The sequence below is a fragment of the Homo sapiens genome, chromosome 5, assembly GCF_000001405.40.
Source record: "Homo sapiens chromosome 5, GRCh38.p14 Primary Assembly".
Lineage (NCBI taxonomy): Eukaryota > Metazoa > Chordata > Mammalia > Primates > Hominidae > Homo > Homo sapiens.
In genome coordinates this window covers 113,389,311-113,414,248 of record NC_000005.10, presented here as the reverse complement: position 1 = coordinate 113,414,248, position 24,938 = coordinate 113,389,311, and the positions used below count along the sequence as shown (strand labels likewise).

Genomic DNA, 24,938 nt, shown 5'->3' with positions numbered 1-24,938 from the left:
TCAACAGAATATACATCCTTCTCAGCACCAAATCGCACTTATTCCAAAATTGACCACATAGTTGGAAGTAAAGCATATGTAAATGTAAAAGAACAGAAATCACAACAAACTGTCTCTCAGACCACAGTGCAATCAAATTAGAACTCAGGATTAAGAAACACACTCAAAACCGCACAACTACATGGAAACTGAACAACCTGCTCCTGAATGACTACTAGGTAAATAACAAAATGAAGGCAGAAATAAAGATGTTCTTTGAAACCAATGAGAACAAAGACACAACATACAAGAATCTCTGGGACACATTTAAAGCAGTGTGTAGAGGGAAATTTATAGCACTAAATGCCTACAAGAGAAAGCAGGAAAGATCTAAAATTGACACCCTACCATCACAATTAAAAGAACTAGAGAAGTAAGAACAAACAAATTCAAAAGCTAGCAGAAGCCAAGAAATAACTAAGATCAGAGCAGAACTGAAGGAGATAGAGACACAAAAAAACCCTTCAAAAATCAGTGAATCCAAGAGCTGGTTTTTTGAAAAGATCAACAAAATTGATAGGCTGCTAGCAAGACTAATAAAGAAGAAAAGAGAGAAGATTCAAATAGATGCAATAAAAAATGATAAAGGGGATATCACTACCGATCCCACAGAAATACAAACTACCATCAGAGAATACTATAAACACCTCTATGCAAATAAACTAGAAAAGCTAGAACAAATAGATAAATTCCTGGACACATACACCTTCCCAAGACTAAACCAGGAAGAAGTTGAATCTCTGAAGAGACCAATAACAGGCTCTGAAATTGAGGCAATAATCAATAGCCTACCAACCAAAAAAAGTCCAGGACCAGATGGATTCACAGCCAAATTCTACCAGAGGTACAAAGAGGAGCTGGTACCATTCCTTCTGAAACTATTCCAATCAATAGAAAAAGAGGGAATCCTGCCTAACTCATTTTATGAGGACAGCATCATTCTGATATCAAAGGCTGGCAGAGACACAACCAAAAAAGAGAATTTTAGACCAATATCCTTGATGAACATCGATGCAAAAATCCTCAATAAAATACTGGCAAACCGAATCCAGCAGCACATCAAAAAGCTTATCCACCATGATCAAGTGGGCTTCATCCCTGGGATGCAAGGCTGGTTCAACGTACGCAAATCAATCAACGTAATCCATCACATGAACAGAACCAACGACAAAAACCACATGCTTATCTCAATAGATGCAGAAAAGGCCTTTGACAAAATTCAACAACTCTTCATGCTAAAAACTCTCAATAAGCTAGGTATTGATGGGACGTATCTCAAAATAATAAGAGCTATTTATGACAAACCCACAGCCAATATCATACTGAATGGACAAACCTGGAAGCATTCCCTTTGAAAACTGGCACAACACTGTGTTGTCCTCTCTCACCACTCCTATTCAACATAGTGTTTGAAATTCTGGCCAGGGCAGTCAGGCAAGAGAAAGAAATAAATGGTATTCAATTAGGAAAAGAGGAAGTCAAATTGTCCCTGTTTACAGATGACATGATTGCATATTTAGAAAACCCCATCATCTCAGCCCAAAATCTCCTTTAGCTGATAAGCAACTTCAGCAACGTCTCAGTATACAAAATCAGTGTGCAAAAATCACAAGCATTCCTATACACCAATAACAGACAAACAGAGAGCCAAATTATGAGTGAACTCCCATTCACAATTGCTACAAAGGGAATAAAATACCTAGGAATCCAACTTACAAGGGATGTGAAGGACCTCTTCAAGGAGAACTACAAACCATGCTCAACGAAATAAAGGAGGACACAAACAAATGGAAAAACATTCCATGCTCATGGATAGGAAGAATCAATATTGTGAAAATGACCATACTGCCCAAGGTAATTTATAGATTCAATGCCATCCCCATCAAGCTACCAATGACTTTCTTCACAGAACTGGAAAAAACTACTTTAAAGTTCATATGGAACCAAAAAAGAGCCTGCATTGTCAGGACAATCCTAAGCAAAAAGAACAAAGCTAGAGGCATCACGCTACCTGACTTCAAACTATACTATAAGGCTACAGTAACCAAAATAGCATGGTACTGCTACCAAAACAGAGATATAGATCAATGGAACAGACCAGAGGCCTCAGAAATAACACCACACATCTACAACTATCTGATCTTTGATAAACCTGACAAAAACAAGAAATGGGGAAAGGATTTTGTATTTAATGAATGGTGCTGGGAAAACTGGCTAGCCATATGTAGAAAGCTGAAACTGGATCCCTTCCTTACACCTTTTACAAAAATTAATTCAAGATGGATTAAAGACTTAAATGTTAGACCAAAAACTATAAAAACCCTAGAAGAAAACCCAGGGAATACCATTCAGGACATAGGCATAGGCAAGGACTTCATGACTAAAACACCGAAAGCAATGGCAACAAAAGCCAAAATAGACAAATGGGATCTAATTAAACTAAAGAGCTTCTGCACAGCAAAAGAAACTACCATCAGAGTGAACAGGCAACCTACAGAATGGGAGAAAATTTTTTTTTATTTTGCTTTTTTCTTTTTAAAGGTTAGCTGTTTTTATGAATCTTTTAATTAAAGTGTAAAAATCTCTGATTATAGATTGTGGGTGACATTGTAGGTGGTTGGAGTTAAGAATTACTCCTGAAAAAAAAAATCGCTCCTGAAACTTAGAGAGAATGCATGCTTTTTACCTTATCTGACAAATGTCTAATATCCAGAATCTACAAAGAACTTACACAAATTTACAAGAAAAAAGCAGATAACCCCATCAACAAGTGGGCAAAGGATATGAACAGACACTTCTCAAAAGAAGACATGTATGCAGCCAACAGACACATGAAAAAATGCTCATCATCACTGGTCATCAGAGAAATGCAAATCAAAACCACAGTGAGATACCATCTCACACCAGTTAGAATGGCAATCATTAAAAAGGCAGGAAACAACAGATGCTGGAGAGGATATGGAGAAATTGAAACATTTTTACTCTGTTGGTGGGAGTGTAAAATAGTTCAACCATTGTGGAAGACAGTGTGGCAATTCCTCAAGGATCTAGAGCTAGAAATACCATTTGACCCAGCAATCCCATTACTGGTTATATACCGAAAGGATGATAAATCATGCTGCTATGAAGACACATGCACATGTATGTTTATTGTGGCACTATTCACAATAGCAAAGACTTGGAACCAACCTATATGTCCATCAATGATAGACTGGATTAAGAAAATGTGGCACATATACACCATGGAATACTATGCAGCCATAAAAAAGGATGAGTTCATGTCCTATGCAGGGACATGGATGAAGCTGGAAACCATCATTCTGAGCAAACTATCACACGGACAGAAAACCAAACACCATGTGTTCTCACTCATAGGTGGGAATTGAACAACGAGAACACATGGACACAGGGCAGGGAACATCGCACACCAGGGCCTGTTGTAGGGTGGAGCGTTGGGGGAGGGATAGCACTGGGAGAAACACCTAATGTAAATGACGTCTCAATGGGTGCAGCAATCCGACATGGCACATGTATACCTATGTAACCTGCACGTTGTGCACATGTACCTCATAACTTAAAGTATAATTTAAAAATAAGAGTTGCATAATAATTCATTATGCAGATGTAGCACAATTCATTTTACTATCCCGCAGTGTCAGATATTTAAACCTCAGCCTTCCAAAGCCCTGGAATCACAGACATGACCCACCACGCCCAGCCAAGAATAATTTTTTTGACTCGTGAACTCTAAGAATTTAACCTACCGAATTGATCAGACAAGTGTTCAACAATGTTTATCACAGCACTTTTATAAGAAATACATGATGGAAGTTACCAATTAAATAAATTTTAAAATCATATTATGTTATATCTATATAGTGGATACCTTGTGGATATCCATTGTATCCATTGTATAGATACAACATAATATGATGTTAAATGGATATAAAAATCCATAATGGATATCCACAAGGTATCCCTTGTATAGGTATAGCATATCCATACGCAGAACCATATTTCTTAACACGGAAAGGTTTTTATGATTTTTTGCTACATGGAGTACACTAGTTATAAAACAGTATGTTCAGCAAGATCCCGTTGGGGGAAGTTATACGGAGACAGAGACATAGGTATGTCATTTGAGAAATAAATTCCGTTACATAGACAGATCCACACACATAAGTGTAGAACTATATTTCTGTATCTATCAATATATAGATATTTCCCTGGAACAGTGTCTTTAAGAATATACAAGTTTTTAATGGAAAATATGATTATAAATAATTTTTCTTTGCTTTTCCTATTTTCCTTATTAAAATAAAATTTTATAGTGAGCATATGTTTTATTTTTGACCACAAAATGTGAGACCGTAGTCTCGAGTCTAGGAAGGGACAGAGACTAAATATCCTTGTCCTCACTATCTGATGCATAAATTGCCCTTAGTATTGGAGTGGGGTGGGAATGAGAGAGTACATGATTCTTATTTTTCTTTAAAATTACTAAATCTTAATTGGTAAGAATTATCCTAATGGTTTATGTGTAACATTCAAATATTTAAGGCAGGCACACTGGCTCATGCCTGTAATCCCACCACTTTGGGAGGCCAAGGCAGGAGGTTTGCTTGAGCTCAGGAGTTCAAGAGCAGCCTGGGCTACATAGTGAGACCCCATCTTTACAAGAAATTTAAAAATTAGCCAGGTGTGTTGGTGCACACGTGTGGTTCCAGCTAATTGGGAGGCTAAGGCAGGAGGATTTCTTGATCCAAGGAGATCAAGGCTGCAGTGAGCCGTGATCACACCACTGCACTCCAGGCTGGACAACAGAGCAAGACCCTGTCTAAAAAAAAAAAGTATTTAACAGTGTTATTAATAGAATCTGTGGATGTTGCGTTTTTGTTGTTTATGAGAATGGGGCTTTTGTGATAAGACTTCAATTTATGTTAAGAAGGTCTGGAAATGAAAATCAGAGTACATTTCCCGAAATGTCTTTTATAGTTAGCCACATTCCAGACAAGTGCTAATATGCATTTTACATTTTTAAGTGCAGAGGAGAAAGACAAATATAGGGTAATGCAGTGGGAATCTCGATCTCTGTGTTGCTTCAGGGCCCCTGGTCCTTCTATTCCAGCCTAAAGGCACCAAAGGATCCTCTGACTGATAAATTGGCATTTATTACTCTTTAGCAGGCACTAAAATTGATCCACGTCCTAAGCTGCTTAAAATCTCTAAACAGTGAGTTTCAAACTTTTGTTTAAGCTGTGAAAACTTCATTCAAATAAAGCCTTACTTAGTCTGTAGCCTTATATATGAAACAGACAAACATGGTAGGGACAGGCTAGGCCATCTGCCCTGAAGCCTGGTACATGTTCATCCATCTCCTGCTCCCTTGCTCTACTCAGTCCTAAGGAGCAGTTTGAAAGCACTACCCCTAGGAGAACCCCCAAAACAACCAATATTCATGATAAAACCACCTTGATGATTTGTCTACATTTGTGGTTATCAACCTTTAGCTCTAATCGAAACCCTGGAGAACTTGGGAAACACTTCAGGAGTCTCATTCAGTAGGTCTGGGTTTGGACCTGAGAGCTCATATTTCTAACCAGTTCCCAGGTCATGCTGATGCTGCTGGTCTCACGACTACATTTTAAGAACCTCAGCGCTAGGTATATTCTGTGGAGCATTTGTTTCACACTCAACAGGCCAGTGAGGATAATTCATTGTCAGGTAAAGATTGGGCTGAAAAGAATTTAACAAGTTTCCTTTAAAGTTTGTAGTGTTTAATATAATACAGTACATGTTGTATCTCCAAGAAAAAGATCTCGTATTTGATCCCAGAACATCTTTCCCTTCCCTCTTTTTTCTTTTGAAAATAGAACAAACATGGAAATTAGTGTCATGTGTATGCCAGAGATAGAATTCAGGAAAACTGAGACACAGGGCAAAACTATATATGTTAAGTTTATTTTTGTTGCTCCAGAAGTTTGCCTTCCTCTATCTTAGACCTAAGGGGTACAACTTGTACTTTGAGAAACCAACTAATTAAAGTGTTTGAAGTGAGATGAGGAACCTTATCTGTCCAGGTTGTATGAAAGATATCTACCTTTCAGATGATTTGAGGTTGTTTGCTGGGGTTATATCAGGAGATTGTGTTAATGTATCTCCCTTTGCTTTTCCTCTGTTCCCTTCTTCTAACTAGGCCTCTTAATGAGGTGGAAAGAAGTTAGGAGACCTAAATTCTAGTCCTAGTTTTGGCACTAACTAGCCAGTAACTCAGTGTCTGGGCTAAGTTTTCATTTCAAGATTCCTACTCTTAAAAATGAGGGAGTTTACGTAAGTGGGAGTTGAACAATGCAAACACGTGGACACAGAGAGGGGAACAACACACACAGGGGCTCCTGGGATGGGAGAGGTGCGAGGGAAGGGAGAGCATCAGGACAAATAGCTAATGTATGCGGGGCTTAAAATATAGGTGACAGGTTGATAGGTGCAGCAAACCCCCATGGCACACGTATACCTATGTAACAAACCTGCACATTCTGCACATGTATTCCAGGACTCAAAGCAAAATAAAAATTTTTAAAAATGAGGGAGTTTAACCAAATGAATGCAGAGATAACTTGCAAGTCTAAAATTATTTAACCAGGTGATGCTTGGTGGAGTGAGTACAGGAGCAGTACTGTGGAGCCTGCTGTAGGGGAGACACTGGCTCACCACTTGCTCAGATATTATCCTGAATAGGAAATGGTCCCAGTTTTTGCAGTTTTTGCAGATGCAGTTGTAGAGACTGAGAGAGGTTCAGTCATACATCTAGAAAATAGCAAAGGTAGGATTTCACCCTATCTGAGCATAAAGAATGCTTTCCACTCTGCCTAATGCCATAATACACTTACCACCCAGTTTCTCCTTAAAGTGTTTTCATTTTTTAACATTTCCTGTCGGTCCTTTGAGATCAGCTAGATTTTGAACTCAGTCTCAGCTCAACTGCTTTATAGCTGGCAAGTTACTTAACCTCTTTGCATGTTTATTAAGAGGATTATGTCAATTGCTGAGCACAAAGTATGTGTCCAATAAATAATAATTATTTTAACTTACTCTAGAGTTATAAGCACTGTAGATAACAATTTTTTTTCTGCCTTTTTATCTTAAGCAGTTTATTATAAGCACTTCTTATGTTGCCCAGGATTTCCAAATTTATATTTAGGGGCTGCATCTGTTCTCACTAAGTATATAAATAGTTATTTACTTATCTATTCTGCTACAATTGATATTGAGCCAGATGGGCCAGGCTCAAGGGGTGTAGAACCTTTAAGGCAGGCCTAAGGATGGCACTTGCTCCCACCTTTGAAATCTCTTCTTGGAGATCCACGCAAACCTCACTGAGGTTCTCTGCATGCAGGACTTCTGGTTGAACCTGCTGGTAGGATATCAGTGACTCTAAATTCTCTTTGTAAGGTGCGTGTAACTTTAAAGTCTCAAATGTAAACATTATCTTTTACTTCTTAGTTTGTTCCTCATTTGCTTTTCTATAAGTGAAAAGTGTTTTTCAAATATTATTCTGAATGAATAGCCAGCTATATTTAGATCGATTTGAAAAAAAAGATGGTTTAATTATACTTTCACTAGTGAGTATAGATGTAGACTACAAATAGGATTATAGAGAACTCTTTTTATTGCTGGTTCAGTGGAGAGGGCAGAGGACCAGGACAGTTTCACCTGGAGGAGAATCTGCGTTACGTTTATACGGGCAGGAGTTAATTATATGCCAACAGAAATGTGGCTGATTTGGGTCATTTTAGATAACTCTCCAATGGGACTAGAATTATTATTCGATGGCATAAGTGAATTTGTGACTGCCTTAATTTTTTATTAAAATCAGAGATCTCATCCAAGACAATCTTAAGCTAGCAATGTCTTTCCTTCAGCTGGAAGGAAATAAAATGGTGTAAAGCTGGATTCTAGAATGTAAATTACAGAGAAGAAGATTTGTTTGTAATTAACTTAGTGCTGTTTGTGTTTAACTTCATCATAATTTCTCAGGATGAACAAATTGCACATTCAATAGTGCAGGCAAGAAGTAAGGCTTTTAACAAGTTTGAATGTTCTTTCTCGGTTGTTATTTCTAAGATGAACCTGTGAACTTTTAATTTATATATTGGTTGGAAGTAATTAGCCCTTGAATTGTGCCGCTTTTGAGACATAATTATTTAGAAGGGGGATGGAGTAGAGAGAGCATTTTGATTTTCTGATCATCAGGAGGAAAATAATGCTTTGCATTGAAAATCTTAGAGTGATGCTCAAAAGGAAAATGTAGTCATGTAAACATATGCTAAATACTTGAAATAATATTAATAAGTATTTTTACGGTACAAAACTACAACTTTTTTTTCTTTTTTCTTTTTTTTTTGAGATAGGGTCTCGCTCATCACCTAGGCTGGAGTGGAGTGGTGCCATCATGGCTCACTGCAGGCTCGCATTCCTGAGCTCAAAGGATCTTCCCACCTTAGCTTTCTAAGTAGCTAGGACTACAGGCACATGCCACCACGCCTGGCTAATTTTTAAAAAGAAAATTGTAGAGATCGGGGTTGGGGGGCGGATGTCTCCCTATGTTGCCCAGGCTAGTCTTGAACTCCTGGCATCAAGAAATCCTCCTGCCTCTGCCTCCCAAAGTGCTGGGATTACAGGCATAAGCCACCACACCTGGCCCACAGCATATTTCATCTGTTTTTTCCTACCAAACCACCTTGCCTGGCAGATTTTAATACCTTTTTTATCTTTACAAAATTTGGAGAGTGAAAAGAATTCAAATTCTCTCCAACTACCAGGTAATTAAATCCTGCTTAAATATCTTATATACTGATGCTCTTATTACATAAGTCACCTGCAGAAGATTAACTGATACACTTTGGACAACTGAAGGGAACTACTGTCAAGGCCAAGTGTAAATTGCAAGCTACTAAAATATCTTGACAGGATAATAACTGGAATAACCTGTAAGCTGATCTACTGTAAGGAGGCATTTGGTTTTCTTCTTGGCAGGGCACTGGATGCCAAAGCTAAGTTCCTTGGCTTATTTTTCTCTAACATTGCTTTTTAGATATCAGGATGCTGACTGCCACTATAGAGCTGGTATGTAGCTTTTTAAAAAATGCCTTAAACATACATATGAATAAAAATTCAAATGTGTTCAAAAAGGTTAGTGGCAGAGTAGGCTTCTGTCCCATCTCTGTCCTCCAGACATGGTCCTCTTTTTACAGTCAGTCACTGGTAACAGCTCCGTAGGTCTCCTTCCAGATGTAGTCTGTGCACATCAAGTCCTGCAGATACATATTTTACTACTACTTTTGTATGTATCATTGTATGACACGCACTGATCTGCACCTGCCTTTTTTTTTAACTTGATTGATTTTGGATGTTGTGCCACCATTATACAGAGCTGCTTTGTTATTTTGGAAGACTGTTTAGTATTCATGGCATTGTATAGATGGAGCATAATTTATTTACCAGGCCTCCATCAGTGGATATTTAGATGATTTCCAGTCTTCTGCTAATATAAATAGTGCTGCATTGAATAACTCTGTTCAGTCATCAACATATCCCTAGGATACATTTCTAGAAATGGAATCGCTGAACCAAAAGAAAAGCAAGTACAATTTTGATTTTGACAAAGACTGCCAAACTGCAGTGAATGTTGCAGCAGGCTGTGAGAGTGACCTTTGCTTTTATATCCTAGATCTGGCCTTTGTCACTGGTGGGCGTTTTTTCTGAACTTGGCCACAGTGTTACATTGGTGACTTTCTGTCTGTGACCAGGACTCATTTTCCCACAATCCTGGCCACTGTATTCTTTTACAGCCATTTGAGGGCATTGCTTTTAAGAAAACAGACTTATTTCTCTATGTGTTTCCTCATAGATGAGGGAAATAAGGGAAGTGTTGATGTTTCAGAGCTGTGAATTTTGGCAGTGCAAAGAAACATTAGAGAGGTTTCCTTGACTTCAAAATTATAGGAGGGGATCTTCTCACCCTCAAATAAAGAAACAAACTGGGCCGGGTGTGGTGGCTCACAATTGTAATCCCAGCACTTTGGGAGTCTGAGGCGGGCAGATCACCTGAGGTCAGGAGTTCAAGACTAGCCTGGCCAATGTGGTGAAATGCCATCTCTACTAAAAATACAAAAATTAGCTGGGCATGATGACCCGTGCCTGTAATCCCAGCTACTCAGGAGGCTGAGGCAGGAGAATCGCTTGAACCCGGGAGGCGGAGGTTGCAGTATGCTGAGATCACACCAGTGCACTCCAGCCTGGGTGACAACAGTGAAACTCTGTCTCAAAAAAAGAAAAAAAGAAACAAACTGAAGTTTTGACATTTTTAAAACCAAAGTGTTGGTGGTGTCATGTAGCTATCACTTTACCATTGAGCCGCTCCACTAACTGGACCTCACATTCTCACCCCTGGGTCTGGCTCCCTGATGGCAATCCCGCTGGGGGCTTACAGCTCGCTCCCTCTGCTGCTTCCTTTCCTCCTTCATTTCCCACCTTCCTCTTCTCTCCTTCTTGTCCAAACAGCTTGTTATTACTCCGGCTGGAACTTTACCACCTCTCTCTCAGCCACTATTGTAACACTACAGATCCAGGCCAAACCAGAAGAAGCTCCTTCCTTGTGATGAATGCTTTATAATCTGTGATATGATTTGTACTACAAATTTCTGAAACATGAAGAGCCCCTTTTGTTTAATTACGTAGAACACCTAGTTCACAGTACTCATTTAAATATGTGATCGTGGTTAGTTGAAGGATTTTTTATTTCTGGGATTTAACTTTAACTTAGGTATATTTTAAATATAAAACGTTGATGGCATTACTATGAGTTGTTTCCCCAGTACAGTGTTTACGAATACTGAAATAGACTTAAATGTTCTTACAGTGTGCACTTACTTTCCTTAGAATGGTACGTCAAAGTAAACAATGATGGCAAGCTACCATGGCTAATACTGGCATTGTTGCTGTTCTGTGCCATTCCTTCCCACACTGGTCTCTAATCTATAAGGTAAGGGATAGTTTTAGCCATATTCATGACATCTAGAACAGTGCTACTCAGAGTGGGCCACAGACTAGTCTTTTCTTGCCAATCTGCAGCAAGGTAAGTACAAGATGCTGCCAAATTGCTATGAAAGTCTTTGAACACTGAAAGCATAAAAGTGTTCAAATCTTTTATAGCAATTTGGCAGCATTGAATCTAATATTAAAAATTGACCTGTCTCTACAATAAATTTTTAAACAAATTATCTGGGTGTGAAGGCTGAGGCAGAAGGATCACTTGAACCCTGGAGTTCAAGGCTGCAGTGAACTATGATCGCACCACTGCCCTCCAGCCTGGACGATATCTTCATGTAATACTTGAGGATGTGAGACACAATGACAACATTTCTTGCCTGAGGCTGCTGCCTATGCTGCATTAAATCTCCTCCTTCTCCTTTCTGTAATCAGACTACAAGCCCTCATTTGCTTCTTGTGCTATAATATTTTGATTATAATCTGAGAGAGTGAGTAGAATAAGACAGAATATTATACATGAAAACAATTTGCATTTTTTAACCCTTAAAAAAGTGTAAAGTAGCATTTCACCCATATTATTTTTGCGTTAATGCCATTTTCTAAAACTAAAGTAGTTTGGAAGATATTTAGGAGAACTTTATTGTGGTCACTTTGAAATTAAAAAAAATCCTCCATGTGCTGAGTGTTTTAAAAATTTTTTGGTAGGCCAGGTGCAGTGGCTCACACCTGTATTCCCACCTCTTTGGGAGGCTGAGAGGATCACTTGAGGCCAGGAGTTCAAGACCAGCCTGGCCATCATAGCAAGACCCCATCTTTACACAGAATTAAAAAAATTAGCTGAGTGTGTTTTTTTTTTTTTTTTTTGAGACGGAGTCTGGCTCTGTTGCCCAGGCTGGAGTGCAGTGGCGCAATCTCAGCTCACTGCAAGCTCCGCCTCCCGGGTTCACGCCATTCTCCTGCCTCAGCCTCCGGAGTAGCTGGGACTACAGGCGCCTGCCACTACGTCGGGCTAATTTTTTGTATTTTTAGTAGAGACGGGATTCCACCGTGTTAGCCAGGGTGGTCTTGATCTCCGGACCTCGTGATCCACCCGCCTCGGCCTCCCAAAGTGCTGGGATTACAGGCGTGAGCCACCGCGCCCGGCCCTGAGTGTGTTTTTGTGCCCCCATAGTCCTACCTACTTGGGAGGCTGAGGCAGGAGGATCGCTTGAGCCCAGGAGTTTGAGGTTACAGTGAACTATGATCACACCACTGCATTCCAACCTGGGTGACAGAGGAAGACCCTGTCTCAAAAAAATAGTAATAATAATTTTAAAAATATGTAAAATTTTAAAAATACAAAAATAAAGTTTTTAACTTCTAGAGGAGAATATATATATATATATATAAATAAGAAAACCTGGGGAAATTTGCACATGTCACAGTCTCAGCCTCAGGGAAAGGTTTAGGTTTCTGTCCAGGCCAAGGTAAGACCCAAGGAGCCAAAATAAACATTGGGAACATCTATTCTCAGTATGAATGCAACAGTCCCTAACTGTGTGAGCAGAGTCTGGAGGTTCGGAGGTCAGACATACAGGTTCAAATGATGTGGGAAGCAAGAAATACTGAGAAGGCTGCTAAATGAGAAAGACAATGGGACCAAGGGACAGAGGATTGAGAAGGCTGGTAGCAGGCTCTGTGGATGGGCCACTTCAATTTAAAGAGCCAGGGGTCAAGTACACCTTTGGATCCTAGCCTAAAACATTGCTTAGACTTGGTTATTCTATTGAGTAGCACTTAGTGAAAAATTTTGCTTTATCTTCTACCTTTACTCCTTTTTTACAATGGAAAAAATAAACATAATTGTAAGTTTATCATTCACAGTACACTGTGAATCTTTTATATATTAAATACATGTTGTAATATACATCTTTTTACCCTGGTGAAAGAAATTGGGTGCAATTGTCTTTTTATAATAATGGTGTTAAGTGTGTAATTTTCCCATAAAAAGTGTGACCTGAAATGATCTGAAGGAATAACTATTCTGGAAGTATTATTAAAATACACTTAGAAATAAATTTTTAAAAAGTGGTTCATTTCCCAAATAATTTTATTGCCCCAAAACCTATGTATTAGGTCTCTTCCAAGTATTCCCTCTTTCTATATCTTTCAGACATGACTGCCTTACATAATGTTTGGATCTGGGGTCCATTGCTTAGCTTTAGTGGGATTTTTGGAAGGACACTGATATATTAAGAGCTACTTACTCATTTGTCATACTGACCATTATTGCTAGAATATTCAATTAGTGAGGATTTACTGAGTGCTCACTGTAAGATTCTACATCTGTCACTGAGATTAACAAAAAGGTGCTCTTTGTTCATTCATTCATCCACCAAGCTGTTTAAGTACCTGCTGTGTACCAAGTATGGTGCCAGGAATTTGGGACAGATTTCCTTTTACAAGGCACTGATAGACCCTGTAAAATGAAAATAAGATCTGCTATTGTGAGAATTAAATGAAAAAATATATCTAAAATACTTTGTATAGCCTCTGAATGAGTATTTTTCCCCAAGAATGGCAGAGACTGCTTTTGAGAAGTTTTTACAAATCATTGTGAAGATAGGCTGAGTCTTGCTTAATACCAAATGTTAATTTACTGATTTAAAGAAATAATCCAAGGGGGAAATACATTAAAGTATTTTCTTTCACTACAGTGTCAATAGGAAACATCAAATTAAGAGAGAGCCAAAACAGGCCATGCGCGGTGACTCACGCTTGTAATCCCAGCACTTTGGGAGGCCGAGGAAGGCAGATGACCTGAGGTCAGAAGTTTGAGACCAGCCTGGCCATTATGGTGAAACCCTGTCTCTACTAAAAGTACAAAAATTAGCTGGGCATAGTGGCGGGCGCCTGCAATTCCAGCTACTCGGGAGGCTGAGGCGGGAGAATCACTTGAACCCGGGAGGGGAAGGTTTCAGTGAGCCAAGATCGCACCACTGCACTCCAGCCTGGGCGACACAGTAAGACTCCATCTCAAAAAAAAAAAAAAAAAAAAAAAAAAAGTAAAAAAGGAGAGGGCCAAAACAATAAAGAGTAAGAATATTAGGAAACAGTCACATGTAAAAGAACTATAGAATAAAAAGCTGTTAAAAAAACATGTAAACATAATACTTCACTTGTTTGCAGATGCTGTCTTCTTGAATGTTGGCTTTTAGTCATTCTTGACGTTTCACCTGGAAAGGGGAAACTATCATGCCAGTGAATGATCTTAGCTATTCATTATTTCTGTGACCTCTTAGAAAGTTCAGGCCAAACATCAGAAGGAATTAGTATTGCAGTAACTCAAATCTAAGAAGGCAAAGCTGGTGCTTTCTCTAGGAAACATCCTTACCCTTCTGCTTGCCCCAGAAGTCCTATAAATCTTTCAACCAAAATGTTTTCATAAGGGGATGGTGATTTGGACATGAATTTGAATCTGATTTCCTTAATCAAAAAGTGAGTAGTTTTTATATGTTCCATAAGTAGAAATGAATCCAAAATTAGAAAATCAGCTGCAAAATACTAACAAATTTATAATAGTGTTTTTATGTTCTGAGGGGAAAAAAGCTTCTATTTTCCTTATTTACTTAGAATAATAACTTAGTAAATAACCTTAATAATAACTGACTTTTATTTATTTATTTATTTTTTTGAGACAGAGTCTTGCTCTGTCGGCCAGGCTGGAGTGCAGTGGCACAATCTCTGCTCACTGCAAGCTCCACCTCCCGGGTTCACTCCATTCTTCTGCCTCAGCCTCCCAAGTAGCTGGGACTACAGGTGCCTGCCACCACGCCCGGCTAATTTTTTGTATTTTTAGTAGAGACAGGGTTTCACCTTGTTAGCCAGGATGGTCTCAATCTCCTGATCTCGTGATCCGCCTGCCTCGGCCTCCCAAAGTGCTGGGATTACAGGCGTGAGCCACCGCACCTGGCCAATAACTGACATTTTAAATAATCTCCTTCCTTAACTGATACTATTGCCTGAAGCTATTTGAAGATATTGTAGACTATTTTATTTTTTCCAGTGTTAGAACTTTCTGTGATGAACAAAACATATTCTATACTTGTGCTGTCCAGTGTGGCTCCTGAGCATCTGAAATGTGGCTGTTGATCTAGTACAACTGAGGAACTGAATTTTTAATTATATTTCATTTTAATTAATTTAAATGTAAACTTAAACAGCCACCTGTGACTAGTGGCTGCCATATTGAACAGTACAGTTCAAGACTACAAATACTAATTCCCAGGGTTAAAATAGACTTCAAAATAAATTGAAATAGGTTTCAAAATAAAGAATATTGAGAAAGTTGCTTATTGGAAATCCTAGTTTTACAAAAAAGCTTACATGGGTATATTGCGTGATGCTGAGTTTTGGGATACAATTGAACCCATGACCCAGATAGTGAACATAGTACCCAATAATTTTTCAACCTTTGATCTCCTTCCTCCCTCTCCCATGTAGTAGCTCCCAAGTGTCTATCGTTGCCATCTTTATGTGCATGTGTACCCATTGTTTAGCTCCTACTTATAAGTGAGAACATGTGGTATTTGGTTTTCTGTTCTTGTGTTAATTCACTTGGGTTAATGGCCTCTGGCTACATTCATGTTGCTGCAAAGGACATGATTTCATTCTGTTTTATGGCTGCATGGTATTCCATGGTATATATGTGCATTTTCTTTATCCAATCCATCACTGATGAGTACCTAGGTTGATTCCATGTCTTTGCTATTGTGAATAGTGCTGTGATTAGCATACAAGTGCACGTGTCTTTTTGGTAGAATGATTTATATTCCTTTGGGTATATACCCAGTAATAGGATTGCTGGGTCGAATAGTTCCATGTTTAGTTCTTTGAGAAATCTCCAAACTGCTTTCCACAGTGGCTGAACTAATTTACATTCCCACCAACAGTGCACAAGCATTCCCCTTTCTCCACAGCCTCACTGACAAATGTTATTTTTTGACGTTTTAACAATAACCATTCTGACTAGTGTGAGATGGTACCTCACTGTGGTTTTGATTTGCATTTCTCTGATGATTAGTGATGTTGAGCATTTTTTCATGTTTGTTGGCCACTTGCGTGTCTTCTTTTGAGAAGTGTCTGTTCATGTCCTTTGCCCATTATTTAATGAAGTTATTTGTTTTTTGCTCACTGATTTAAGCTCCTTATAGATTGTGGATATTACACCATTGTTGGATGCATAGTTTGTGAATATTTTCTCCCATTCTGTAGGCTGTCTGTTTACTCAGTTGATAGTTTCTTTTGCTGTGCAGCAGCTCTTTTGTTTAATTAGGTCCCACTTGTCAATTTTTATTTTTGTTGCAATTGCTTTTGAGGACTTAGTCATGTATTCTTTTCCAAGGCCAATGTTCAGAAGAGTATTTCCTAGGTTTTCTACTAGGATTTTTATAGCTGTGGGTCTTCTACTTAAGGCTTCAATCCATCTTGAGTTAATTTTTGTATATGGTGATAAGTAAGGGGACAGTTTCATTCTTCTACTTATAGCTAGCCACTTATCTCAGCATCATTTATTGACCAGGGAGTCTTTTCCCCATTGAAAAAGCTTATATTTCAATATTCCATTAGGCTTGACATTTCAAAAATAATCTTTATAATATAAATTAGGTGACTTAAAATGTTTATTCTTTCTTTCAATCTTGATTTTTGTTTTGTCTTTCCTATTTTTCTGTATTTTTTTCAAGTTGGTAACCACAACCAAAAGCGTTTTTTCAGATATGAGAATTAGACCAATAGTTTCATCATTTCTAGCAGAATGTTTTATTAGAAATGCAGAGTGACAGAGTAAGAGAGAGAACGAATGCATGGGCTCAACGTCATGCCAGTGTAGGATGTTAATTACTTTGGCAGACTTGGTGAGTGCTTTAAGACAGTGGGAGGAGCCAAGATGAATTCAGTTAATTCCTTCAGATGCATGTCATATGGCATTTTGTTTGTTTGTTTAGGTAATGTTGGAATTGATTTTCCCTTTCCTTCATAACTCTTCATGTTATTATCACATGTGTTTCCAGACTACAGCTGACCTTTTTTAAATTAAAAGCTGAATTTTAAAAAGGGGCTGAGGTGCATTTATCCATAGCAGTGTCTCTCTGGTTTCCCTTTTTAACATTAAAACTCCATTTTCAATTGTAGAATATAATTTTTATGCCCCTAAAGAAAGTTATCTGTTGATTCACTGAATACTGTATCTGCCAGGTTGCCTTCTTCTTTTGTAAAATTTCAGTTAAGTGGAATATTTGGAATCATGGGCTTCTGGTTGATCAAAAGCAAAAGAAGAAATTGCTATTCATTTATTATTTATTTACCAAGTACCTATTATATGCCAGGTATCATTCTTGGTATTGGGAATACAACAGTGAAGAAAATAGACAAAATTCTCCATCCTTGGGGAGCTTAAATTCCAGAGGAATCCTTTTGTTTTCCTACTTCTATAGAGGATTTTTTTCAAAATAATCTATTTTATTTTATCTTGCAAGTACCTAAATGACCACAATATGGTTTGTCACCCAGGCTGGAGTGCAGAGGCGCGATCTCAACTCACTGCAGCCTCTGCATCTTAGGTTCAAGCAATCCACTGCCTCAGCCTCCTGAGTAGCTGGGGTTGCAGGTGTGTGCCACCACATCTGGCTATTTTTTTTTTTTGTATTGTTAGTAGAGATGGGGTTTCACCGTGTTGGCCAGGCTGGTCTTGAATTTTGGCCTCAAATGATCTGCCCGCCTTGGGCTCCCAAACTGCTGTGATTATAGGCATGAGCCACTGTGCATGGCTCGGTTTTTTTGTTTGTTGGTTTTTGAGACAGTCTCATTCTTTCGCCCAGGTTGGAGTGCAATGGCACAATGAGGGCTCACTGCAGCTTCCACCTCCTGGGCTCAAATGATCCTCTCACCTCAGCCTCCCAAGTAGCCGGGACTACAGGCATATGCCACCATACCCAGCTAATGTTTGTATTTTTTGTGGAGATGGGGTCTTGCCATGTTGCCCAGGCTGGTCTCAAACTCCTGAGCTCAAGCAATCCTCCTGCCTCGGCCTCCCAAAATGCTGGAATAACAGGCATGAGCCACTGCACCCAGCCTTGTTTGTTTTTGATCACTAAGACTCCTGAGTGTCCTGAAAACCCTCATTCCTTAGGACTGTTGATATAGGACAGAAGTTCTCTGAACTACTTAGGAAGCCTTTTAACAAATACTGATGCTGCCTTCCCCTCTCCCATTTCCCAGTCCCCCACCCCCACCATTCTGATGTAGTTGCATGGGCCATGGAGCATAAGCATCAAAATATTTTAATTAATCACCCCAGGCAATTATGAAGAGTTGAGCATCATAATTAATATCTATTTATATAGAAAGTTTAGATTACTGACTTGAATGGTATGGAGCTCAGCATATATAAACCAAAAAGTATCTGAGACAGGTCTCAATCAATTTAGAAGTTTATTTTGCCAAGGTTAAGCGTGCATGGATTTTGAAGCCTTCAGTATTTAAAGGGAAACAGCAGCCTGGGGGGAAAGAGGGAGGGTATGGTCACCTTACTGAATTCATATATTGCAAGAGAAAAGGAGCAGGTAGGGGAATAGTCAATTACATATACGCCTGGTGCTCAGTAAATTGGCACTTTAAATAAGATAAGGTGAACATAGAGTAGCTACCTGTGGAGATATTTAACTTTTTATCTGTAGCTATCTTCTTTGGAACAAAAGGAAAGGCAGCTTCTTGCATGACTCAGCTTTCAGCTTAATTTTTTTTTCTTTTGGCATAGTGAATTTAGGGTCCCAAGTTTTTATTTTCCTTTCATACATATATACTAGAAGATATTTAAAAACCTAATGATATCAACTTGTTTTGTTTTAATTTGTGATTGCAAAATGAAGTGTGCAAAAAGTACAGGAGAAATGGCATTAAAGTTTTCATGTTTTAGGTTCTCTTTTCACCTCTTTTACCTCAAGTCTAACATTATATTTACCCACGTATTCATTTATTTGTTATGCATTTATTTAGCACTTACTGTATACCAGGTGTTACAGACTCAAAGATAATGAACAAGGAATGAACTTTGTCCTCTAGGAATTTACAGCCTAGTACAGATTTGCAAACTTTTTCTGTAAAGGGTCATATAGTATATATTTTTGGTTTTGTGGGCCATATGGTCTCTGTCACAATGATTCAACTCTGCTATTATAGCAAAAAAGTAGTCATAGACATTACATAGATAAATGGGCATGCTCTGTTCCAATAAACTAGATTTACAGAAACAGGAAATGATCTAGATTTGGCTGCAGGTCTTACTTGCCAACCTCTGGTTTACTAGAAGTGAGATAAAATAAATCAGTCATTACTATAGAGTGGGGTAAGTGATCGAAGCTTGAGCAATTACTTTGATAAGATACTGAAGAGCTATCAAATTAGACTGGGAGTTATGTGAGATACAGAAGATTTCTGAAGGAGACGCTGTTCAAGTGACTTATGAAACATGCGCTGGAGTTTGAAGAAAGGGAAAGAAAAGGATGTTCTGAGCAGAGGGACAAACATGTGCAAAGCAGGAGCATGTAAAATAACAGTGACCGTTTATAGAAGCTAAAAGAAATTTGGTGGCTGGAATGAAGGCTACCTACTTCAGCAAGAAGATGAGACTAGAGAGGTAGGCCCAGCTATGCTCTGATGGGCCTTGGCTATGAAGTGAGAAACTTGGGTATGAAGCTAAAAGTCTTGTGGGGAGCAAATAAAGGATTTTAAGCAGGAAAGAGTAACAGAATTTGTTGGCTGCCTGTTGGAAAGAGTGAGACCAATTAGGAGACCAATGCAGTAAACCAGGTGGAAAATGTTGAGAGGTAGGGATGATCAGGACGGAATGGATGTGAGAGCTATTTAGACAATAAAAGCTCCAGTCCTTGGTAATTGAGTATGGGGATAACCAAGAAAGAAACATCCTAGATAACTTCTAGATTTCCAGCATGGGTGACTGGATGGTATAATTTATGTAGGTTGAAGGAGAAAATTTGGGAAAGGGTACGAGATGATGAATTAAGCACAGGACTTTGAGTTCAAGATAAATATATGACAGTCAATTGTATCTACCCAGTAGAAAATGGATTGCTACTTAATTGAAGATAGAAATTTGGTAGTCAGCCATACATAGTGGTAGATGAAAGCCACAGATTTAGATTAGATTATCTGTAGAGAGTTTTAGAGTGAAAAAACAGGGGGCCAAGGATATGACTCTAAGATAGCATGTATTTAAGGACAAGAATTCTGATATGGACCTTTCATACAGAGATGGGAGAAACCAGAAGACAGAGTTTAACAGACTGAAGGAAGAGTTTCAAGAAGGTAGCAGTCGGCATTAAGCACTGAAGAGAAAGAAAGAAATGTGTCTCTGGGATTATATGTTATGAATGCCTTTGCAGAAAAGAAAATGAGGACATAGGGAATACTCTCTATGTAGGGAATTAGACTACTGTCTCTAGAAACATAGCCAAAGCGTGAGCAGCTCAGACACTGCTAGTGGGACTATAAATCTGATGTTTCTCGAAGGATGTTGAGAAAACTATATTGAGAGATTGAACCTTTTAACAATGAGTAATTCCACTCCTAAAAAGTCATACCAGGAAAATAACCAGATGCTCTCTAGTCTGTAAGGATGAACAAAAGTTCCAAAATGACATTTTGGATCATTCATCTAATTTGATTAACTCCAAGGGTCATCTCCTGTAAACACTTATTGATATGAATGACATTATTTTAAACATTTTCCCCTCCAACTATAGCCTCAGACCAAACTTATTTTGAATCGGCTTTATATATATGTTAGATTTTTAAATTAAGAGACATTTTAAATATTGAAAGTTACAGAGTATGTAATTAACACATATGTACCATACCCAGATTGCAGAGAAGTTATTATATTTGTCCACAGCTCTTAAAAACAACATTACAAATGCATGTCAAGCCCCCTTTGTGCCTTTCCCTAATCCTGTTCTTCTCCCTCTCTCACCTCTTTACAGTTGAGATTTATGCTTCTTGACCTTGTTTTTATTACTTGCCTATGTGTAAATCTATACACAGTTTATAGCATTGTTTGTATATTTTTAAACCTTTGATTAATACTGTCATATTGTTTATGTCATTCTTCAACTTGATGTCTTTACTCACTACTGTTTTTGAGATTTTTTATGATGATACATTGTAGATGCATTTCTTTCAAACCTACATTCTATTGTATTTCATTATGTGATGCCACATCAATTTGTATATATACGTATTTTCTGTTGATAGGCATCTGGACTAGTTATTTAACATCTCTGTTCCTCAATTTCCTCACTTATATATGGAGATAATAATGGTACCAACCTCATGGAGTGGTTCTGAGCATTAAATTAATTAATATATATAAAGGAGTAGCTCAAGCCCTGGCATACAATAAACATCCAGTGTGTATTAGCTATTATTATAAATATGACTATTAATATTATTGTTAACCTCTTCTCAATTCTTTGCTGTTACAGATATTGTTCATGTCTCCTCCATTTATGCATAAATTTCTTGAGCACATGTAACTAAAAGTTGAATTTCTGGTTGAAGGGTATGCTTGAGTCTATTTTTTTTTTTTTAGATGTTGCCAAAGTCCTCTCAAGAGGTGGTACCAGCTTTTCTTCCACCAATACCATGTGAAAGTTTCTGTTTCCTTGTCAGCACTTGGTATTGTAAGACTAATGTTTTTGGCAATCCATTAGATACTAAAATGGCATCCAGTTTCTAAAATTACGTTTTCCTTATACTTAGTGAGGTTAGGAATCTTTTTATATCTTCATTGGCCATTGGGGTTTTCTTTTCTGTTGACTGTTCACGTCATTTGCCCATTTTTCTTACTTTTTCTTTATTTTTAAAGACGGGGTCTCACTTTGTTGCCCAGGCTGGAGTGCAGTTGCTATTCATAGGCAATCGTAGCTCACTATGGCCTTGAACTCCTGGCCTCAAGGCATCCTCCCTTCTCGTCCTCCCAAGTAGCTGGGATTACAGGCACATGCCACCACGCCTAGCCTTACCCATTTTTCTACTGGGTTGTTATATTTTCCTTATTGCATTGTGGAATTCTTTATCTAAATACAATCTTTGTCATATCTCAAATTACATTAATAATCTATTTGGTTTTTTAAAATTTGAAAACATTACTTTAATAAAAACTATTCATGCATATGGGAAACAACAAAATAAAATTGTACAGAAGAGTTTGTGACAAAACACAACCCTCCTACCCTACCTCCCTCTCCACACCCATGCCCAGTCCCCAGAGGCAAAGTCTTGGTACCATTTGTGCTTCTAGTTCTCCTGATCATTTCTTCCGTAACACGGAAAAATATGCTAATACTTCTGTATCCTGATGACCAGCTTTTTTTTTTTTCCCCAGAGACAAGGTCTCGCTGTGTTACCCAGGCTGGAGTGCAGTAGTACAATCATAGCTCGCTGCAGCCTCCAAACTCCTGGACTCAAGTGACCTTCCTGCCTTAGCCTTCCAAGTAGCTGAGACTACAGTGTGCACCACCATGCCTGGCTAATTTTTTCAATTTTTTGTGTGAAGATCAATGTCTCACTTTGTTGCCCGGGCTAGTTTCGAACTCCTGGCTTCAAGTGATCCTCCTGCCTTGGCCTTTAAAAGTGCTGGGATTACAGGCATGAACCACTATGCCCAACCCTGATTACCAACTTTAGACAATATCTCCTTATTCCATGCTAGGAAAAGGAAGTACAGCCACTGTTTTCAGCCCCACTTCTCATTCTCACAATTCATCACACTGGCTGGCTATAAACCCAGAACCTTCAGCGTTTTAGTACCACCCAGCAGCTCCCCTGCTGCATATTCTAGGCAAGGATTTCTAGCGCCTGTATCATCCATCATCATGCTCCCATCTCTTTTGTGTCTCTCTGAAATTTGTTGAAATTTCCTATATTTAATAACTTCTTCTCCTTTTTTCTTAAATATGGTTTTGTTTGCTTATTTGCTTATTGTTTTGTACTTCACTCTACTTATTTCGTAAGAAGCAATGATGAAAGAAAGGCAAATGCATTTATTCCGTTCAACAGCTGTACACAGAAATTACCAACTATAGCCCGGAAACCTGTTACTTTTTATGACCTAATTATAATTTTCATACTTTCAATATTTGTAGAACTGAAATTAGAGACTTCTAAATTACATTTTTTGTGTGACTCAAATTGAAGATTTGGGGCAAAATAAGTTTTTAGATGTTTTTTGTAGTCTTTCATGAGCAACTATTTCTGGACTACCTACTAGGTCCAGGGGTCTCTGTTAGTTGAGAATTTCGAACAAAAGCATGCAACCTACTACTTAAATTGCCTCTGTATAGCCCTCATTCCAACTGGGTTTGGGATTTATTATCATTGTGGGGAAGAATAGTGTTTTTCTCTGCCCCTGAGCCTGAGAGACCAAAGCCCATCTTTCCCATTATACATCCCCAAGGTTAGGCTGCGAATTTACTTGAATGACAAATAGTTTTACTGAATTTTCACTTCATACTCAATTTCTTTATAAGTTAAAGGAAGAATAGCCAAGAGAAAAAGAAGACTTTTATATATAGAAAATAATAGCTGTTCATTGTGAAACCATGCAGTTTTGAGTGAGAAGCATCAATCTTGAAATGACTGAAGTCATTTTAGTTCTGCTGTCTGGTGATTGGTGTTCTCTAAGAGCTAAATATTGCCTGACTTGGCCAGCTCCTCTGATACAAACTGAGGTCTTTTTCTTTCTCATGTTATGATGATATCATCTGAAGATAAGATATATGTGCATGAATATGAGTATGAAACACCTTTTAAAGCATTTGTAACAATAACGACTTAGAGGAAAAAATGTTCAGTACAATTTTGTGTAATTCACCAGATATTCACTGTGGTTATTGCTAGGTAAAGGGATTGCATGTAAGCTGTATTTTCTTTCTGCTTGTCTACATTTTCTACAATGAATATGTGTTTTCTGAAATAATATACAAAAGTTTTATTTTTTTTCAAGGCAGAACACTTACATGATGTTGTTATTGCTACTGATATAGTTCTCTGCTGGACTATCTTAGTTTTGGACAGTCTCAATTTAGTATCTCTTCCTCTGAAAAACTTTCCTTGCCTAGGGCAGAGAAATGTCCTGCTGTTCTGTCACTAAGGCTACAGGGTTATTAGTGTTTTATGGAGGCCATTGGTCCTTCATACTTACTGAGCATCCCATGTGCTGCATTATGTGGGAAAATACAAAGACAGGTATATGGTGGAAAATATCCAAAGTGGGGACCCTCTTTAAAAGAAAGATCATTTTCAACTTCTGAGAGTTTAAGTATCATTCCATCAAAACAAATGTGATGGGGTCTGCTGTGCATGTGGTGGTGTGCTGGGTGCTGCACACATCTCAAAGGGAATTGACGTAGCATCAACACTGGCTGCCAGGAGCTCATGGTCATATTGGGAAGATAAGGATTGAATATGTGAAAACAATTTTTAAAAAGAGAAAGAGAGAAAGAAATCAAAGTTAAGTACAGTCCAAAAGCTGTCACAAAACTGTAAATAATCACCAAATGACTGGTGCAGGTACTAAATGTTATCAGAAGGAAAAGACCACCATGGGGCTGAGCAGGCTGCCAGGACTGCATGGAAGTGGAAGGCATTGAGTTGAAATTGGAAGCTAGAAGGTGTCTTTAGGCCTGTGTGTTCAGAATCCTAGAATTTTATTTCCGCCACATTTTGTTGGTCAAAGCCAGTCTCAAGGCCAGCCCAGATTCAAGGGCAGGGAAATAGCCTCCACCTATTGA

At 38.4% G+C, this 24,938-nt stretch overlaps 1 protein-coding gene and 1 long non-coding RNA gene across 2 annotated transcripts in view; one reads left to right on the top strand and one right to left on the bottom strand.

Moving 5' to 3' along the window:
- LOC107986366 (uncharacterized) overlaps positions 1-14,308 on the bottom strand; it is a 59,223-nt gene extending 44,915 nt beyond the window's left edge. Inside the window, exon 1 of the long non-coding RNA XR_001742459.2 lies at positions 14,250-14,308. This is a non-coding gene — a long non-coding RNA (uncharacterized LOC107986366). The remainder of the gene's footprint in view (positions 1-14,249) is intronic.
- Positions 1-24,938, top strand: part of MCC (MCC regulator of Wnt signaling pathway) — a 466,348-nt gene that overhangs the window by 74,205 nt on the left and 367,205 nt on the right. The gene's annotated exons all lie outside the window — the stretch shown is intronic.